Below are 18,061 nucleotides of genomic sequence, written 5' to 3' on the forward strand. Positions count from 1 at the left end.
AAATGCTGTATGCAGCAGAGTATACCACAAAGACATATAATGTTGTGATGAAACTATAGTATAATATTAACTGAAAAAAGTAAGTCCTTTGAAGTATCATTCATCTTGATACTCTATTTTTATAAAACCAAAATATCCTTTAAAATTAGAATAAAAATAAAAATTTAAGGATTATATATAAATGCAAAAAATATATAAAAAGAAAAGCAAGGGAATCATGAACATGGTTGGATATGATAACTTTTTGCGGTCAGAGAAACAGGGACATAAGGATGTGGAATAGAGGAGGCGGAGACTATATGGTGTAAAGTAAATTATTTTCAAGATCTTAGCTTAGCTTTTATTTTGCTTTTCACATTATCTGCTTAAGGAACTAACAAAAATTCCACTGTTGCTGAAATCATTTTGTTTTTTTGAGACAGTGTGTCCTTCTATTGTCCAGGCTGGAGTGTAGTGGCAGGATCGTGGCTCACTGCTTCCTCTGCCTCCTGGATTCAAACAATCCTCCCACCTTAGCCTCCTGGGACTACAGGCGCATGCCACCATGCCCAGCTTCATTTTTGTATTTTTTTGTAGAGACAGGGTTTCACCATGTTGCCCAGGCTGGTCTTGAACTCTTGGACTCAAGCAATCTGCCTGCCTGTCAGCCTCACAAAGTGTGCTGGAATCACAGACGTGAGCCACCGTGCCCAGGCCGCTTACATCATTTTTAGGCCTTTTCTTTGGAATCAACTTTAGAGCCAGTTTAGGCCACACACGAGTATCAGTTACATTGCTTTATAATCAACCCTAGGTTTTCAGCTCCCTTCAAATTTGCTTGCTTATTGACTCACTATATTTACCACATTGGCTTCAAATGACTTTTAACTTTCTGAAAATAAAATCCACCTTAAAAACTGATAATTGCCTTTGAAGATATTTAAAAGTATGCTAGAGGTCATTTTAATAGCAAAAATAAGATCACACTCCTCCTGCTGGGTGCGGTGGTTCAAGGTGGGTGGATCACCTGAGGTCAAGAGGTCGAGACCAGCCTGGCCAACATGGTGAAACCCCTTCTCTACTAAAAATACAAAAATTAGCCAGGTATGGTGGCGGATGCCTGTAATCCCAGCTATTCAGGAGGCTGAGGCAGGAGAATTGCTTGAACCCGGGAGGCGGAGGTTACAATGAGCCGAGATCATGCCACTGCACTCCAGCCCGGGCAACAGAGTGAGATTCCATCTCAAAAAAACCCCAAAAAACAAAAACAAGATCATGCTCCTTTGGTAGTCCTTTTTTATGCATATAACTTTATGCATGTTTGTCAAAAGTAAGTCTTACTTTAAAGTGAGCTTGAATATAGTCTTTGTTAAATGCATAGCAGAATGCATCTAACCAATATCATCTAAGCCTGACTAGATGATTTTGTGATTTAATTTGTATTAAGTATGCTTTTCTTTTGTTCTTCTCCTTCACCAGGTATATAATGTTTACATGGCAGGGAGGCAGCTGTGTTCTAAGCGGTACCGGGAGTTTGCTATCCTACACCAGAACCTGAAGAGAGAGTTTGCCAACTTTACATTTCCTCGACTCCCAGGGAAGTGGCCATTTTCATTATCAGAACAACAATTAGATGCCCGACGTCGGGGATTGGAAGAATATCTAGAAAAAGGTAATCCAAACCATCAAACTCTACTATATTGAGTAGACGTAGGTTCTAGATATGCAACTTCTAAACTGCATAGCTGAATTTCCAGAACCTCAATAGTGAATGTAAGTCAGGTTTCTGACTAAGTATTGAATGATCTGAACTTTGAAGGCAAAACTGAAATGTCCAGTACAGTGATCAGTAGCCTGTTTCATTGGTTTGTTGAATGCTTAACAACAACAGAAAAATGAATATTTAGTTTTTGATGCATTTGGTGATGCCTAATGGACTTTTTTTTTTAGACGGAGTCTCGCTCTGTCGCCAGGCTGGAGTGCAGTGGCACGATCTCAGCTCAACTGCATCCTCTGCCTCCTGGGTTCAAGTGATTCTCCTGCCTCAGCCTCCTGAGTAGCTGGGACTATAGGCACATGCCACCACGCCCAGCTAATTTTTGTATTTTTTAGTAGAGACAGGGTTTCACCATGTTGGCCAGGATGGTCTCGATCTCTTGACCTCGTGATCCGCCCACCTCGGCCTCCCAAAGTGCTGGGATTACATGGACCTTTATTTTTAGGGTTATATTATCTGCCAGCAAACACATATAGACTCAGCAATATGCTGAATTGATTTGGGAACTAAGTGGGCAATATTAAGACATTTTAAATATTTAAGACATTTTCATTAAAATGATTCTTGGCTTACTGCTGTATCCTACATGAAAACTTTATTCATTTTACAGGTATTCATAGATAGGTTTGCTGAGTTGTAGGTAATCTAGAGTGCCCTTGTTCTAAGCAGGCTAAAGGTAGATACTAATACTTCTGTATTGAATTTTTTGTTTTGTTTTGTTTTGTTTTGTTTTGAGACAGAGTCTCTCTCTGTTGCCCAGGCTGGAGTGCAGTGGTGTGACCTTGGCTCACTGCAACCTCTGCCTCCCAGGTTCAAGCGATTCTCCTGCCTCGGCCTCCCGAGTAGCTGGGACTACAGAAACGCACCACATGCCCGGCTGATTTTTGTATTTTTAGTAGAGACGGGGTTTCTCCATGTTGGCCAAGCTGGTCTCGAACTCCTGACCTCAGGTGATCCGCCCGTCTTCACCTTCCAAAGTGCTGGGATTACAGGCATGAACCACTGCACCTGACCCTGTATTGAAATTTCCTTGTTATCTCACTGCCTCCAGATGATACATCAGGAGTCTGTGGATGTGGATGGTGAAACATTTGTCTAGAGGCGTGAGCCACTGCACCTGGCCCTGTATTGAAATTTACTTGTTATCTCAGTGCCTCCAAATGATACATCAGGAGTCTGTGGATGTGGATGGTGAAACATTTGTTTGTCTAGGAAGGCAGGGAAATGACACAGATCTCCTCAATAAGATAGCTCATCTTCTGGCTCAGGGAAGAGACCTTTCCTTGCTACATTATAAAGTTATATTATTTGGTAGCTGTTCAGTAGGTTTTTCTCTAAAATACTGGCTTATAGAATAACAGTTTTACGTGATATGTAGTCATTCTGTTTCCTTGTAACTAACTGACCTAGTTGAATATTTTAAAAACTTTTGTAGGGAGCCTTATCGTGAAGAGAAACCATTTTCCCCATAGAAGGTAGTGGAACTTCTTTATCTGTTTTTAGCTTTTTCTAACATGGACTGGCCTCTCTGAACAAAGCCCTTGGGAAATGAGAAAGGGTACAATTTTTAAAAATCAAACGAAGTAAAGTCACCAGTTTAATTTACCATTCTCATGAGAGTGTCAGGAAATTAACTTTCTTAAATTTAGAGGATTAGCTACCTACCTTACCTGCCGGCTTGCTTTCCTATCCCATCACGTCCCCCCAGTTTTTTTTTTTTTTTTTGGTGGTTGTTTTGAAGCTAAAGTTAAAGTCAGTAAGGTGAAATTATGTGAATTCTTAATTACCTACCCCAGTTTTCCCAAAATAGCTTTTAATTTTTGTGGTTCTCTGACTGGCCTGTTTTTAGGCCAAATAAATATTTTTCCTTTAGTATTTCAATTTTATATTTGGTTTATTCCTGATTAATCTTTCCCTACCACTACCTCTTTACCCCATGTTCTGTTGTTCTGCTTGTTAATAGGTCACACAAGACTGCAAAGTTATATTTACGGAACTTTTATTTCTCCCTCTGGTTATGTTTAATATTTTTAGCAAGCTACATCTTTGTATTTTCTATTATTTCTTTGTTCTGATCATATTTAGATGAATGTTTGTCATGCCTTAAAATCTTATATACCAGACATGGTTTGCTGCCTCATTATTGCCTGCTACTGATGATTTAAACTTAAAACTGATGATTTAAACTTAAAACTTTGATACGTCTTTGACTTTATATTCTTGATTTTAAGGCCTTATGCCAGATTTTATCTTTATTTTCTACAGTGTGTTCAATACGAGTAATTGGTGAGAGTGACATCATGCAGGAATTCCTATCAGAATCCGATGAGGTAGGTGAATATCTCTTTTAGTGATTATTTTCCTTTTGGCTCCTTGTGGGGGAAAATAAGTTAAAGGTATTGATTATGCATTAAATTTCCATAAGCTCTCCAAAGGACTCCATTTTTTCTACTTCCTTTTTATATGTATCCTACTTATCTATCCTTTAAGACCTAGGTCCACTTTCTCTTTGAAGTGCCAGGCCCACTTTCTCTTTGAAACCATCCCTGATGAGTTTTCATCAATTTTTCATTCCACCAAAAACTTTTGCAATTAGTTCCATTCAGTGATCACATGTTGCTATCTCATTCTCTAATTTTTGTACATATAATCAGATAGTCGCTTTATATTTTTAGCTTACAAGAGTGTGAGCTACCTGTAGGTAAGAGCTAAATCTTGACCATCTTTATATTCCCAGTGCCTTACCACAGCATCAAGCATGTTGTAGGTGCTTAATAAATATTAATTGAATAGAAGAATGAATATTTAATGCCAATATAGTAGTGTGTTATCCACTACTTATTTTATATGTATATGCCTTGTTTTCCCACTAGATTATAAATTTCTTACAGGCAAGGGCTTACAATAAATCAATGCTTATGATTGTTTCAGGCAATGAGTAGTACTTTTTTAAAAGTGGTAAATGAAAATGGACTTGGTCTGAAATAATTTTCTCTCGTAAAAATTACAAGGTCAAAAATTACAAGGTTAGAAGAATGTGTTAATCATCAAAAGCAGTAAGAGGATTTCTTTTGAATTAAGGAGAGTAAGAATTGTTTACCTTTTGCTAGAAGAAAATTGGGCATCAGGCTAACTTTGAAAGGAAAAATGGATGAGACTCAGGTATCCATTTTTTCTTTTAACAATCTCCTGATTATTTCAGGGTTCAGAAAGAAACTTAGTATATCTCTTGATCCAGTCTATATGCCTGACCATTAATACCAGAGAATATACATCGAAACTACTGCTTTCAGTTGTTTTCTCCTCTCACTTGTGAATTCTGAATGGGGAAAGGGAAGCGAATCAAAAATCTCATCTGTGTTTGACCTAGACTGTTTCACGCAAGTTTCCTGTTTTGAAATGTGAACACGTTGGCTTCAACATGTTTCTTTCCTTCCTGCTTATCTTAAAGATTAACTTCTGCTGCAGCCCTGAAGTCAGCTTTATGACTTGTAAATGTATTGATTTTTTTCCCGTTTTCATTGGAACTCACTTCTTCTCTACCACGTTTTAGGTTATTGTCTAGCTAGCTTGTTACAGGGAGAGTGAAGATATACTGGGCCATAAATTATTTCTCTATGTCTTTTCCCCCAGAACTACAATGGTGTGTCCGACGTAGAGCTGAGAGTAGCATTACCAGATGGAACAACGGTTACAGTCAGGGTTAAAAAGAACAGTACTACAGACCAAGTATATCAGGTAAATTAAATGAACACGTAGACTTGACATTGGATGGTGTGAAGCTAAGGAAGATAGATTAAATAAGTCAATACATATAAAGTGCTTAGGGTGTCTGGCACATAATCCGTTTATTAAATGTTAGCTACTATTGTTATTATTAATGTGAAAGTACTTTGCCCTCCTTAAAAGAAAGGTACGGTAAATATCCCAGGTTGTAGTAGTTGTGATTAACGCCTCCTTTTTTTTTGGAGATGGAGTGTTGCTCTGTCACCCAGGCTGGAGTGCAGTGGCGCAATCTCCGCTCACTGCAACCTCTGCCTCCTGGGTTCAAGCGATTCTCCTGCCTCAGCCTCCTGAGTAGCTGGGACTACAGGTGCCCGCCACCACACCCAGCTAATTTTTGTATTTTTAGTAGAGACACGGGGTCTCACCATGTTGGCCAGAATGGTCTTGATCTCCTGATCTCATGATCCACCCACCTCGGCCTCCCAAAGTGCTGGGATTACAGGCATGAGCCACCACGCCTGGCCAACCCCTCCTTTTTTTATTGTAAAAAAACCATAACACACATGAAAACAGAATAGTATAATGAATCTCCATATAGTAATCATTTATATTTAATAATTATCAAGATTTTGCCACATTTGCGTTATGTATGTCTTTTTTCTTTTCCTTTAAGTATTTAAAGGCAAATCCCATGTTATCGGACCTGTGTGTACTTCAGTATGCATCTTCTTACAAAACCACAGTGCCATTATCAAACCTTAAAAATTAGCACTATTGCTTTGGTATTGCCTAATAACTACTCCATAGTCACATTTTTCCAATTGTCTAAAAATGATTTTTTACATTTGGTTTGTTAAAATCTGAATCTAAACAAGGTCCTTAGATCACATTTGATTTTTTTTTTTTTTTTGAGACGGAGTCTTGCTCTGTCGCCCAGACTGGAGTGCAGTGGTGCGATCTTGGCTCACTGCAAGCTCCACTTCCTGGGTTCACGCTATTCTCCTGCCTCAGCCTCCCGAGCAGCTGGGACTACAGGCGCCCACCACCACGCCCGGCTAATTTTTTGTATTTTTGGTAGAGATGGGGTTTCACTGTGTTAGCCAGGATGGTCTGAATCTCCTGACCTCATGATCCTCCTGCATTGGCCTCCCAAAGTGCTGGGATTACAGGCATGAGCCACCACCCCGGCCTCACATTTGATTTTTATGTTTGTTTTAATATAGAACAGTCCCCACTTCTCCCCATTTTTTTTTTCATGCCATTGTTTTGTTGCAGAAATGGGTCAGTGTCCTGTGGAATGACCCATATTCTGAATATATCTGTTTGTTTTCTGGTGGTGTCATTTAATAATGTCCTTCTGTGTCTCTATATTTTCTATAAATGGAAGTTTGCTCTAGAGGCTCAATTAGATTCAGGTTCTGCTTTTTTGATAATACTTCATAATTGGTCCTGTATACTTTATATTGCTTCTCAACAACAAGTACACAATACTGGGTTATCCCATTTTAGTGGTACTGAGGTTAACCAGTAGGTTTAGGTGGTGAAATCTGATGTTTTCTTTGTAAAATTCACCACTGATCTTTGATCAAATGAATCGATCCATTGATGATTATTGCCTTAACCAGTGATTTCATTAAAGATTACAAAGTGCTGATTTTCTAATACTCTCATTTCTTCCACCGATTAGCTAGAATTCTTCTGAAAATAACTTTTCCTTGTCAACTAACGCTATTTAATTATCTTGAAATAGATAATTTCCCAGTTTGTGGGAAAGACAGGATACATATTTAAGCTTTTCCTTTCATTGCTGATTTTCAGAGTAAATATATCATTATATATAAATATAATTATATATATTAATAACATATGATATGTTACATATTAAACAATATATACTTTATATATAATTATATAATATACTAAATAATATAATAATATACAAATAATATATATTTAATATATAATGCATTATGAAATAGTATATATTATATATAATAATTTAGTCTCAGGTTTTTAGATTCAGTGTGATTTAATCGATAACATATATTATCTTTTTGATGCTCAGATTGTTCCATCTTTGGCCAATGAATGCTCCTTCATGTCTGCTCCTGTATGCTTTTGATGCAACCTAGTATTTTCATATTATCCTTGCTTTTTGGTACAATAAGATGTCCTGGCCTCATCTTTGTATATTTCTTACCCTAGATATCTAGAATAGGACATTTCCCTAAGGAGTCCTATTCTTTTAGTGAGAAACTGTATTTAGAGATCATGATCTGCGTGCTGGGTGTAATCATTGCCTGTGTATGCCTTTTCAATGGCCTTTAATCCTAACTTGATCAGAATTTTCAGGGAGACAAGCAGGTTTCTGGGTACTAATGCTTATATTTCTCTTTTGTAGCAAACATTAAAAAACCTATCCCCCATACATTTATTCATTCACTGTATTTTATGGCAAATGATATATGCAGGATCTCAGGCATTTATGAAATTATACAATGGTAGGGAATTTCAAGAAAAGTACTATTTTTACAGCTTTCTGATCTTTTTGTTTTGTTTTGATTGCTTTTTTCCAGTGTTCCTCTAGCAAGGCTTAGGTTTTTTACACTTTCCTCCCAACTCTGTTACTGAGACTTCTAGCTATAAACTATTTTCTAAACCTTGAAAGCATTTTAATTTCTATCCAGTGCAATATACAATGGTAATTTAGAATGCTTATAATGTCCAGTTCCTCTATCACATAATGGATGAACCTAGGCCTCATATGTGAGCAGATATGAGAAGAAGGGATATAATCACATTTGGCTTACTGAGATACTAATAATCAACAGTTTTATCTTTGTTTTATCAACAAAACAATGGCATGAAAAAGAGATACCTTACTTATATTGAGGTTGATCTTGAAAAGAAATTTTGTTACTACCAGTTTATGTTTTGTTGTTGTTTGTATGTAATTGTCATTTATTTGCACACAGTTTTCCAATTTCTTTTTTATTTGTCATATTAGGACCTGAGTTCCTAGAGAGAATGAGTGATTCTTGTTTAATATGCCTTTATTGTCCCAGCATTTTGCTATTTTATGTAGATATTATGATGGTAATTCTTAGGAAATGGAGGTGCCTAATGATCCCAACATGAGACATGGATCATCTAAAAAGTAAACAAAAAAATTTTGTTTAGCCAGAATATAATTGACAAACTATTTTACACTCTAGAATCAAATATATAGTTTTTTTGTGTTAATGTATTAAATGTAGGCTGAATGTGTGAAACTGGATATTTAAGAATTTGTTTTCTTTTTAAGATCTGTGCTATTAAGTACATTTCTTGTAAGTGGTGTTAAAAATAGAATGAAGTTATTTTAGAGAGGGAAGCTGATATTTAAGGAGAGACTATTATCAGCTTACACTGGAAGGGAGAAGCTCGTATTTAGAGATAATAGCTGTTGGGGCAGATACAGGTGTTTTTTCCCTTTTCTTTCATATATATGTATGCGTGCATGCATGTACACATACATACAAAGAAGGATAGCTATGGACCATTAATGCAATTTTTGTGAGGCCAAGATGGCAGAACCTCTCCCCTTTCCCTCCTCCACAGACATACACCTGCTTTTTCCTACAGCATTGTCTGACTTAATTTTCTTGAAACCAATCTATCCTGTTTAACCTTAGGCTATCGCAGCAAAGGTTGGCATGGACAGTACGACAGTGAATTACTTTGCCTTATTTGAAGTGATCAGTCACTCCTTTGGTAAGTACCAGTGGCTGATACTAAGTTTTGTTTTCTAATACTATGAGAAAGAAACATTTACCTAGAGAAGAGCTTGAAGACAAGGGGAGATCCCACTCATTAGAACTGTCTCTAACAATCAGACCAAGCATATCCCATTAAACTCAGGTCATAAGCATGTCTGATCACTGTTGATTCTTTTTCCTCTTTTGTAAGTATAGGTTATAACTAGCAATGAATCGGAAGATGCTTTCATGAGGTTCTTTTAAATCTGAGGTTCAAAATTCATATATTCCAATAAAACAGGCTTAAAAATGGGATGTTCTATTTAGCCACATGTTGTTTTAGTGTACTTTATAGGATTTTTGTAAAGATTCTTAAGCGTAGCTTTCTGTTTTCAGAAGTTAGGAAGATATGTGTTGGTTAAAAGCCTTGTTTTAATGCATACATTTAAGTTTCTGTGTGAATAAATTTCCTCTTCCAAGGAAATTTTATTGTGTGGTGACAGGAAATTTATATTTTATTTTATAAAAGCTAGGGATGGTGGTCACATTGGTTGCATTGAGACTACAAAGGGGAGAGAGTCTGAGGGCTCTCTCTGAATGACATAGATTTCCTACAGTTTATGGGTCTCTTCCATGTCATATATATTTATACAGGGCTAAGGCCAAAATTGATATAGATAATATTGGTTGATTAGACCTTCCTTATCCCAGAAAGGGGGAGAGTTTGGTAGATTTAGGTTGCCTTGCTATCTCAGGTCCAGGTAGAATAACTTTGATTCCCCTAAAGCAGCCATCTCCCTAATATTTTTTTTCTTCCCAACTCACAGCAGTGTAACTAGACAGATGTAAATTATGTTACAAAGGATTACTAAGGTACCAGGACATCTGGATTCTAACCTTATTTTTTTTCTAAGCTTTAGTTTCACTTTCTATAAAATGGAAAATATTAAATCTGTCTTTTGTAGTGTTATAAAGCCAAGTAAACATTGAGAGAGGAAGTAATCTCAGCAGTTTGGGAGGCCGAGGCAGGAGGATTGCTTGAGCCCAAGAGTTTGAGACCAGCCTAGGCAACATAGTGAGATTGCCATCTCTAAAAAAATTTTAAAAATTAGCCAAGCATGGTGACACATGCAGGCGGTCCAAGCTAGGAGGCTGAGGTAGGAGGATCAGTTGAGCCTAGGAGGTTAAGGCTACAGTGAGCTATGATTGTGCTACAACACTCTAGCCTGGGCAACAAGTGAGACCCTGTCTCAAAAAAAAAAAAGGAAAGAAAAGAAAACTCAGCCTCTCAGCCTTTCCACAAAAAGGCAATTTAGAAATTAAAAGTGGTAGTTTTTTTATCCTGCTCGAGTGGCTGTTAGAAAGAGGAAGTAACATTACTCAGAAGACAGTTTTCAGTTTGAGGAATGCTGTAGGATTTTTGGAGGTGGGCGGAAAAAACCTTTTGGCCTTAACAATAAAAGCAGTTCATTGAGAATTGCCACATGAGAGACTCTGAATGTACCATAGCTGGGTAAGAGGAGAGGCTTGCTTTAAAGATGTTTAGTGGGCCGGGCGCGGTGGCTCACGCCTGTAATCCCAGCACTTTGGGAGGCCGAGGCGGGCGGATCACGAGGTCAGGAGATCGAGACCATCCCGGCTAAAACGGTGAAACCCCGTCTCTACTAAAAAAATACAAAAAATTAGCCGGGCGTAGTGGCGGGCGCCTGTAGTCCCAGCTACTTGGGAGGCTGAGGCAGGAGAATGGCGTGAACCTGGGAGGCGGAGCTTGCAGTGAGCCGAGATCCCGCCACTGCACTCCAGCCTGGGCGACAGAGCGAGACTCCGTCTCAAAAAAAAAAAAAAAAAAAAAAAAAGATGTTTAGTGGACATGAGCTGTAACTAGCTAATGGATTAGATATTTTAACTAAATTTGGAGTTGGTGCTGTTTGCAGAGTTGTCATGTTAACTGATCTGTGTCTTAGTCCATTTTGTGTTGCTATAAAGGAATACCTGAGGCTGGGTAATTTATAAAGAAAAAAGGTCTATTTGTTTCATGATTCTGCTGGTTTTCAGCTGATGTCTACCAAACATCTTTAAGACTGGGTTCAAAATTGGGCATCTGGTAAGGTCCTCAGGCTGTTTTCTTCCACCTATGGTGTGTGTAGAGATCACATTAGGCCCCACCTCTAACATTGGGGATCAAATTTCAACATGAACTTTGCGGGGTGACAAATATCCAAACCACGGCACTTGTCATTCAAGTGATAGGTTTCAGTTAGCTTGAGACTTGACTGGCCATGGCCATAGCTAGAAAGGATATTTGGCTGGACAGATAAGGCTGTTTTGTGCTCCCAAGGCAGAACTCCTTGGTGGATTTGAGATGATGTTCTGGTTAATGATAACATACCATTCTTGATCTGCCTTACATAGTTTATACTAGGGAAGTTTCTTATATCTTTTCACTCCAGCTTTCTGTGTTTTGTCTTTCCTTTAGTACGTAAATTGGCACCTAATGAGTTTCCTCACAAACTCTACATTCAGAATTATACATCAGCTGTGCCAGGCACCTGCTTGACCATTCGAAAGTGGCTTTTTACAACAGAAGAAGAAATTCTCTTAAATGACAATGACCTTGCTGTTACCTACTTCTTTCATCAGGTAGGTGAATTGATCTTCTTGAAAGGCACAATTTCTTTTTATGTTTGAATATAGTTGGTACTTTGCCAATTCCCTGTAAATCCTTAGACAGGCTGCTTTGCTCCTGGGTCTGAATTACATTTGTAAAATGTTCTATCCCATTTCACGAAAGATAAATAATAGATAAGTTTTAGAAGTAAAGATATCCTGGAGTTTAAAAATACGTATTTTTTAAATATGTATTCTAATATTTTTAAACAATAGAAAATGAGCATTGTGGCTGTGTACCTGTTCAAAAATTTTCCACCAATATTATACATACATAGAGTTTAAAGCATCAAATAGTTCTACACAGTTTATTGTGAAAAACAGTAGTTGCCCCTACTTATTTCCATCTCCCCCCATAGGCAACCACCTTCACCTCTTTTAGCTCTTGTTTTTTATTGGTTTGTTTGTTTGTTTGTTTGGTATTTACTTCTATGTCTCCATTATAACTTGGTTATATTGCTCCTACTTAATTTTTCAGATTCCAGCAGCATCTCTTCATTTCCCACTATTGAAGATGAGACACCAGCTGTCTTTCCTTCTCCATTCCTACCATATACCCATACCTTTTTCATCTCTCCCATCCCCTTAATATAGTCAAATTATAATATTTGTAAGGTCAATATGCAGTGTTTACAATATTATGACTGTAAATAGTGAGATTTACAACAGAGCCATATAATAAACACTGTCTTTACTTTTCACTTTCTTTACATTTTATTTTTCCCCAGCTAATTATTGCCCTCCTTTTTCATTTGCTTAATTTTCTGTGTACTTACAATTAATTTAGCTCCATACTCTTCACCAGTTGTCTAAATTTCCTCTAAAGACATTCAGTTCAGACCCATCAGGTAGTTCATGATTTCCACTTTCTGAAGAAATCTCCTGTGGAGTCTCTTCCTCTATCCCCGTGTGAAGTGGCAGCTCTCTACTGTGGTGCACAGCTGGCCTTCTGGGATTGCCCTTCACTACCACCATCTCCTGTTTCCAGTGTGAGAGTACATTGTTTGTTTTGTTTTGCTTTACTCCCATATTTTTGTAGGATACATTTTCAGAGCTGTTCCTCTTTTTATATATGTAATTTTTTATTTTTAATTTTTGTGGGTACATAGTAGGTGTATATATTTTGGGGTACATGAGATGTTTTGATACAGGCATATGGTGTGTAATAATCACATCACAGAAAATGAGGTATCCATCCCCTCAAACATTTATCTTTTGTGTTACAAACAATCCAGTTATACTCTTTTAGTAATTTAAAAATGTACAATTAAATTATTATTGACTATAGTCACCCTATTGTGCTATCAAATACTAGGCCTTATTCATTAATTCTACCTATTTTTTTTGTACCCATTAACCATCCCTGACTCTTCCCCAATTCCCCACTACCCTTCCCAGAGTCTGGTAACCATCCTACTCTCTATCTCCATGGGTTCAATTGTTTTGATTTTTACAGTCCACAAATAATTGAGAACATGTGATGTTTGTCTTTCTGTGCCTGGCTTATTTCACTTAACATAGTGACCTCCACTTCCATCCATGTTGTTGCAAATGACTGACTCTCATTCTTTTTTTATGGCTGAATAGTACTCCATTGTGTGTAAGTACCACATTTTCTTTATCCATTCATCCGTTGATGGATGCTTAAGTTGCTTCTAAATCTTGACTGTTGTGAACTGTGCTGCAGCAAACATGGGAATGTGGATATCTCTTCAAAATACTGATTTTCTTTCTTTTGGGTATATACCCAGCAGTGGGATTGCTGGATCGTATGATGGTTCTATTTTTAGTTTTTTGAGGAACCTCCAAACTGCTCTCTGAGTGGTTGTACAAGTTACATTCTCACCAACAGTAAACAAGGGTTCCCTTTCCTCCATATCCTTGCCAGTATTTGTTATTGCCTCTCTTTTGGATATAAGCCATTTTAACTAGGGTGAGATGATATCTCATTGTAGTTTCTATGTGCATTTCTTTTTTTTTCCTGTTGAGTTGTTTGAGCTCCTTATATATTCTGATTATTAATCCCTTGTCAGATGAGTAGTTTGCAAATATTTTCTCCCATTCTGTGAGTTGCTTTTTCACTTTGTTGATTGTTTCCTTTGCTGTGCAGAAGCTTTTTAGCTTAATGTGATCCCATTTGTCCATTTTTGCTTTGGTTGACTGTGCTTGTGGGGTATTACTTAAGAAATCTTTGCCCAGACTCATGTCCTGGAGAGTTTCCCTGATTTTTTCTTGTAGTAGTTTCATAGCTAGAGGATTTAGGTTTAATTATTGAATCTATTTTGATGTGACTTTTGTATATGGCAAGAGTTAGGGGGCTAGTTTCATTCTTTTGCACATGGATATCCAGTTTTCCCAGCACCATTTATTGAAGAGACTGTCTTTTCCCCAGTACATGTTCTTGGCACCTTGTCGAAAATGAGTTAACTGTAGGTATGTGGATTTGTTTCTCAGTTCTTTATTGTGTTCCATCGGTCTGTGTGTCTGTTTTTATGCCAGTACCATGCTGTTTTTGTTACTATAGTTCTGTAGTATAATTTGAAGTCAGGTAATATGATTCCTCCAGTTTTGTTCTTTTTTTTTTTTTTTTCCAGAGACAGGGTCTCGCTTTGTCACCCAGACCAGAGTGCAGTGGCATGATCACAACTCACTGCAGCCTTGACCTCCTGGGCACAGGCTATCCTCCTGCCTCAGCCTCCCCACTAGCTGGGGCTATAGGCCCATGCCACCATGCCCGACTGATTTTTTAAGTTTTTGTAGAGGTGGGGGGTCTTGCTGTGTTGCCCAGGCTGGCTTGAACTCCTAGGCTCAAGATCCTCCTGCCTTAGCCTCCTAAATTGCTGGGTTACAGATGTGTGCCACCACACCCCACCCAGTTTTCTTCTTTTTCTTAGGATATCTTTGGCTATTCTGGGTCTTTGGTGGTTCCATATAAATTTTAGGATAGTTTTTTTTTTCTATTTTTGTGAAGATGTCATTGGTATTTTGATAGGGATTGCATTGAATGTGTGGATTGCTTTGGGTAGTGTGGACATTTTAACAATATTTATTCTTCCAATCCATGAACATGGAATACTTTTTCCATTTGTTGGTGTCCTCTCTTCACCTTTCTTTCATAGTGTTTTAATTTCTTTTTCAGATTGTTCACTGTTGGCATATAGAAATGCTGCTGATTTTTGTTGTTGATTTTGTATCCTGCAACTTTACTGAATTTATTTATCAGTTCTAATAGTTTTTCGGTGGAGTCTTTAGGTTTTTCCAAGTATAAGATCATATCATCTGCAAACAAGGATAATTTTACTTCTTCCTTTCCAATTTGGATGCCCTTTATAACTTTGTCTTGTCTGATTGCTCTAGCTGGGACTTCTAGTACTATGTTGAATAACAGTGGTGAAAGTGGGCATCCTTGTGTTCCAGATCTTAGAGGAAAGACTTTCAGTTTCTCCCCATTCAGGATGGTAGTAGCTGTGGATCTGTCATATATAGCTTTTATTATGTTGAGGTTCCTTCTATACCCAGTTTTTTGAGGGGTTTTTATTATGAAAGGATGTTGAATTTTATCAAATGCTTTTTCAGCATCGGTTGAAATGATCATATGGTTTTTGTCCTTTACTCTGTTGATATGCTGTGTCACATTGATTGATTTGTGTTTGTGAACCATCCTTACATTCCCAAGGATATATCCTACTTGCTCATGATGATTTTTTAAATGTATTGTTGAATTCATTTTGCTAATATCTTGTTGAGGATTTTTGTATTAATATTCATCAGGGATATTGGTCTGTAGTTTCCTTTTTTGATATGTCTTTGTCTGGTTTTGGTATCAAGGTGATACTGGCCTCATAGAATGAGTTTAGAAGTATTCCCTCCTCCTCTCTTTTTTTGAAATAGTTTGCCTAGAATTGGTATTAATTCTTCTTTAAATGTCTGATAGAATTTAGCAGTGAAACCACTGGGTTCTGGGCTTTCCTTTACTGGAGACTTTATTATGGCTTCGATCTTGTTGCTTGTTATTAGTATGTTCAGGTTTTGGATTTCTTCATGGTTCAATCTTTGTAGGTTGTATATGTCTAGGAATTTATCCATTTCTTTTAGATTTTATAATTTATTGACATATAGTTAATCATAGTAGCCACAAATGATTCTTTGAATTTCTTCAGTGTTGTAATATCTCCTTTTTCATCTCTGATTTTATTTGGATCTTCTTTTTTTTTTCTTAATCTGGCTAAAGGTTTGTCTGTTTAACTTTTCAAAAAAACCAACTTTTTGTTTCATTGCTCTTTTTTTGTATTTTTTTATTTCAATTTAATTTATTTCTGCTCTAATCTTTATTATTTCTTTTCTTCTACTAATTGGGTTTGGTTTGCTCTTGCTTTTCTATTTCTTTAAGATGCATCATTGTTTGAAATTTTTGTCTTTTTTTTGATGTAGGCATTTATAACTATAAAATTCCTTCTTAGTACTGCTTTTGCTGTATCCCATAGGTTTTGGCATGTTATGTTTTCATGATCATTTATTTCAATAAATTTTTAAATTTCCTTCTCAATTTCTCCATTGACCCACTGGTCATTCAGGAGTATATTGTTTAATTTCCACGTACTTGAATAGTTTCCAAAATTCCTCATTTTTGATTTTTGGTTTTATTCCATTATAGTCAGATACTTGATATTATTATAATATCACTATGGTCAGATACTTGATCATATTGATATTATTTGATATTAATAATACTTGATACTCCATTTTTTAAAAACGTTTTAAGACTTGTTTTGTGACCTAACATATGGTCTGCTCTTGAGAATGATCTCTGTGCTGAGGAAAAGAATGAGTGTTCTGCAGTCATTGGATGAAGTGTTCTGTAAATGTCTATTAGATTCATTTGGTCTATAATGCAGATTAAGTCCATTGTATCTTTGTTGATTTTCTGTCTGGAAGATCTGTCCAGTACTGAAAGTTGGGTGTTGAGGTCTCCAGCTATTACTGTATTAGAGTCTGTCTCTCTCTTTAGCTGTAATAATATTTGCTTTAGATATTAAATATATGTCAGGGTGCTCCAGTTTTGGGTGCACATATATTTAAAATTGTTACATCCTCTTGCTGAACTGACCCCTTTATCATTATATAGTGACCTTCTTTGTCTTGTCCTATATTTTTGTCTTACAATCTATTTTGTCTGATATAAGTATAGCTACTTCTGTTCTGTTTTGGTTTCCATTGTCATGGAGTATCTTTTTCCATCCGTTTATTTTCCATCTGTGTGTGTCTTTGTAGGTGAAGTATGTTTCTTGTAGACAACAGATCAGTGGTTCTTGTTTTTTTTTATTTATTCAGCCACTGTATGTCTGTTGATTGAAGAGTTTAGTCCATTTGCATTCAGTGTTCCTATTGATAAGTAAGGCCTTACTCTTGCCATTTTGTTACTTGTTTTATGGTCGTTTTGTGATCATCTTTTCCTTCTTTCCTTCCTTCCTGTCTTCCTTTTAGTGACGGTGATTTTCTGTGGTGATATGATTTAGTTTCTTACTTTTTATTTTTTGTGTATTTGTTGTATGTTTGTAGGTTTGCAGTTACCACAAGGCTTGCAAATACTCTCTTGTAATCTGTTATTTTAACCTGGTAACAGCACTGTTTGCATAAACAAACAAGCAAGCAAAAAGAAAACGAATAAAGGCTCCATGCCTTAAATATACCCCCACACTTTTTAACTTTTTGTTGTTACTATTTATATATACCTTATTGTACTATGTCTTGAAAAGTTGTTGTAGTTATTACTTTTGATTGGTTCATCAAACCATGTTTGATGTTTTTTTATTTTGAAGTTATCTTTTTCCATGTTTTCAAACCATGTTTCCCAGGTTGGTCTTGAACTCCTGAGCTCAAGCAGCCCTCTCTCCTCAGCCTCACAAAGTGCTGGGATTACAGGCATGAGCCATCGTGCCTAGCCAAATCACTAGTCTTCTACTGGCATTGAAGAGGGCAGTCATCTGGTTCCAGGGAATAAAGGAAAGGATCTCAGAATTTGATTGTTTCTTTTTTTTTTTTTGAGACAAAGTCTCGCTTTGTCGCCAGGCTAGAGGGCAATGGCGCGATCTTGGCTCACTGCAACCTCTGCCTCCCGGGTTCAAGCAATTCTCCTGCCTCAGCCTCCTGAGTAGCTGGGATTACAGGCACCCAC

At 37.0% G+C, this 18,061-nt stretch overlaps 1 protein-coding gene across 10 annotated transcripts in view; it reads left to right on the plus strand.

Moving 5' to 3' along the window:
• SNX27 (sorting nexin 27) overlaps positions 1-18,061 on the plus strand; it is an 87,031-nt gene that overhangs the window by 44,727 nt on the left and 24,243 nt on the right. For all 10 annotated transcript variants that reach the window (NM_030918.6, NM_001330723.2, NM_001437607.1 and 7 more), the window contains 5 exons: positions 1,459-1,651; positions 4,022-4,086; positions 5,390-5,494; positions 9,157-9,235; positions 11,696-11,859. In NM_030918.6, coding sequence (NP_112180.4) covers positions 1,459-1,651; positions 4,022-4,086; positions 5,390-5,494; positions 9,157-9,235; positions 11,696-11,859 — 606 coding nt within the window. The remainder of the gene's footprint in view (positions 1-1,458; positions 1,652-4,021; positions 4,087-5,389; positions 5,495-9,156; positions 9,236-11,695; positions 11,860-18,061) is intronic.

The sequence above is a fragment of the Homo sapiens genome, chromosome 1 (assembly GCF_000001405.40).
Source record: "Homo sapiens chromosome 1, GRCh38.p14 Primary Assembly".
NCBI lineage: Eukaryota > Metazoa > Chordata > Mammalia > Primates > Hominidae > Homo > Homo sapiens.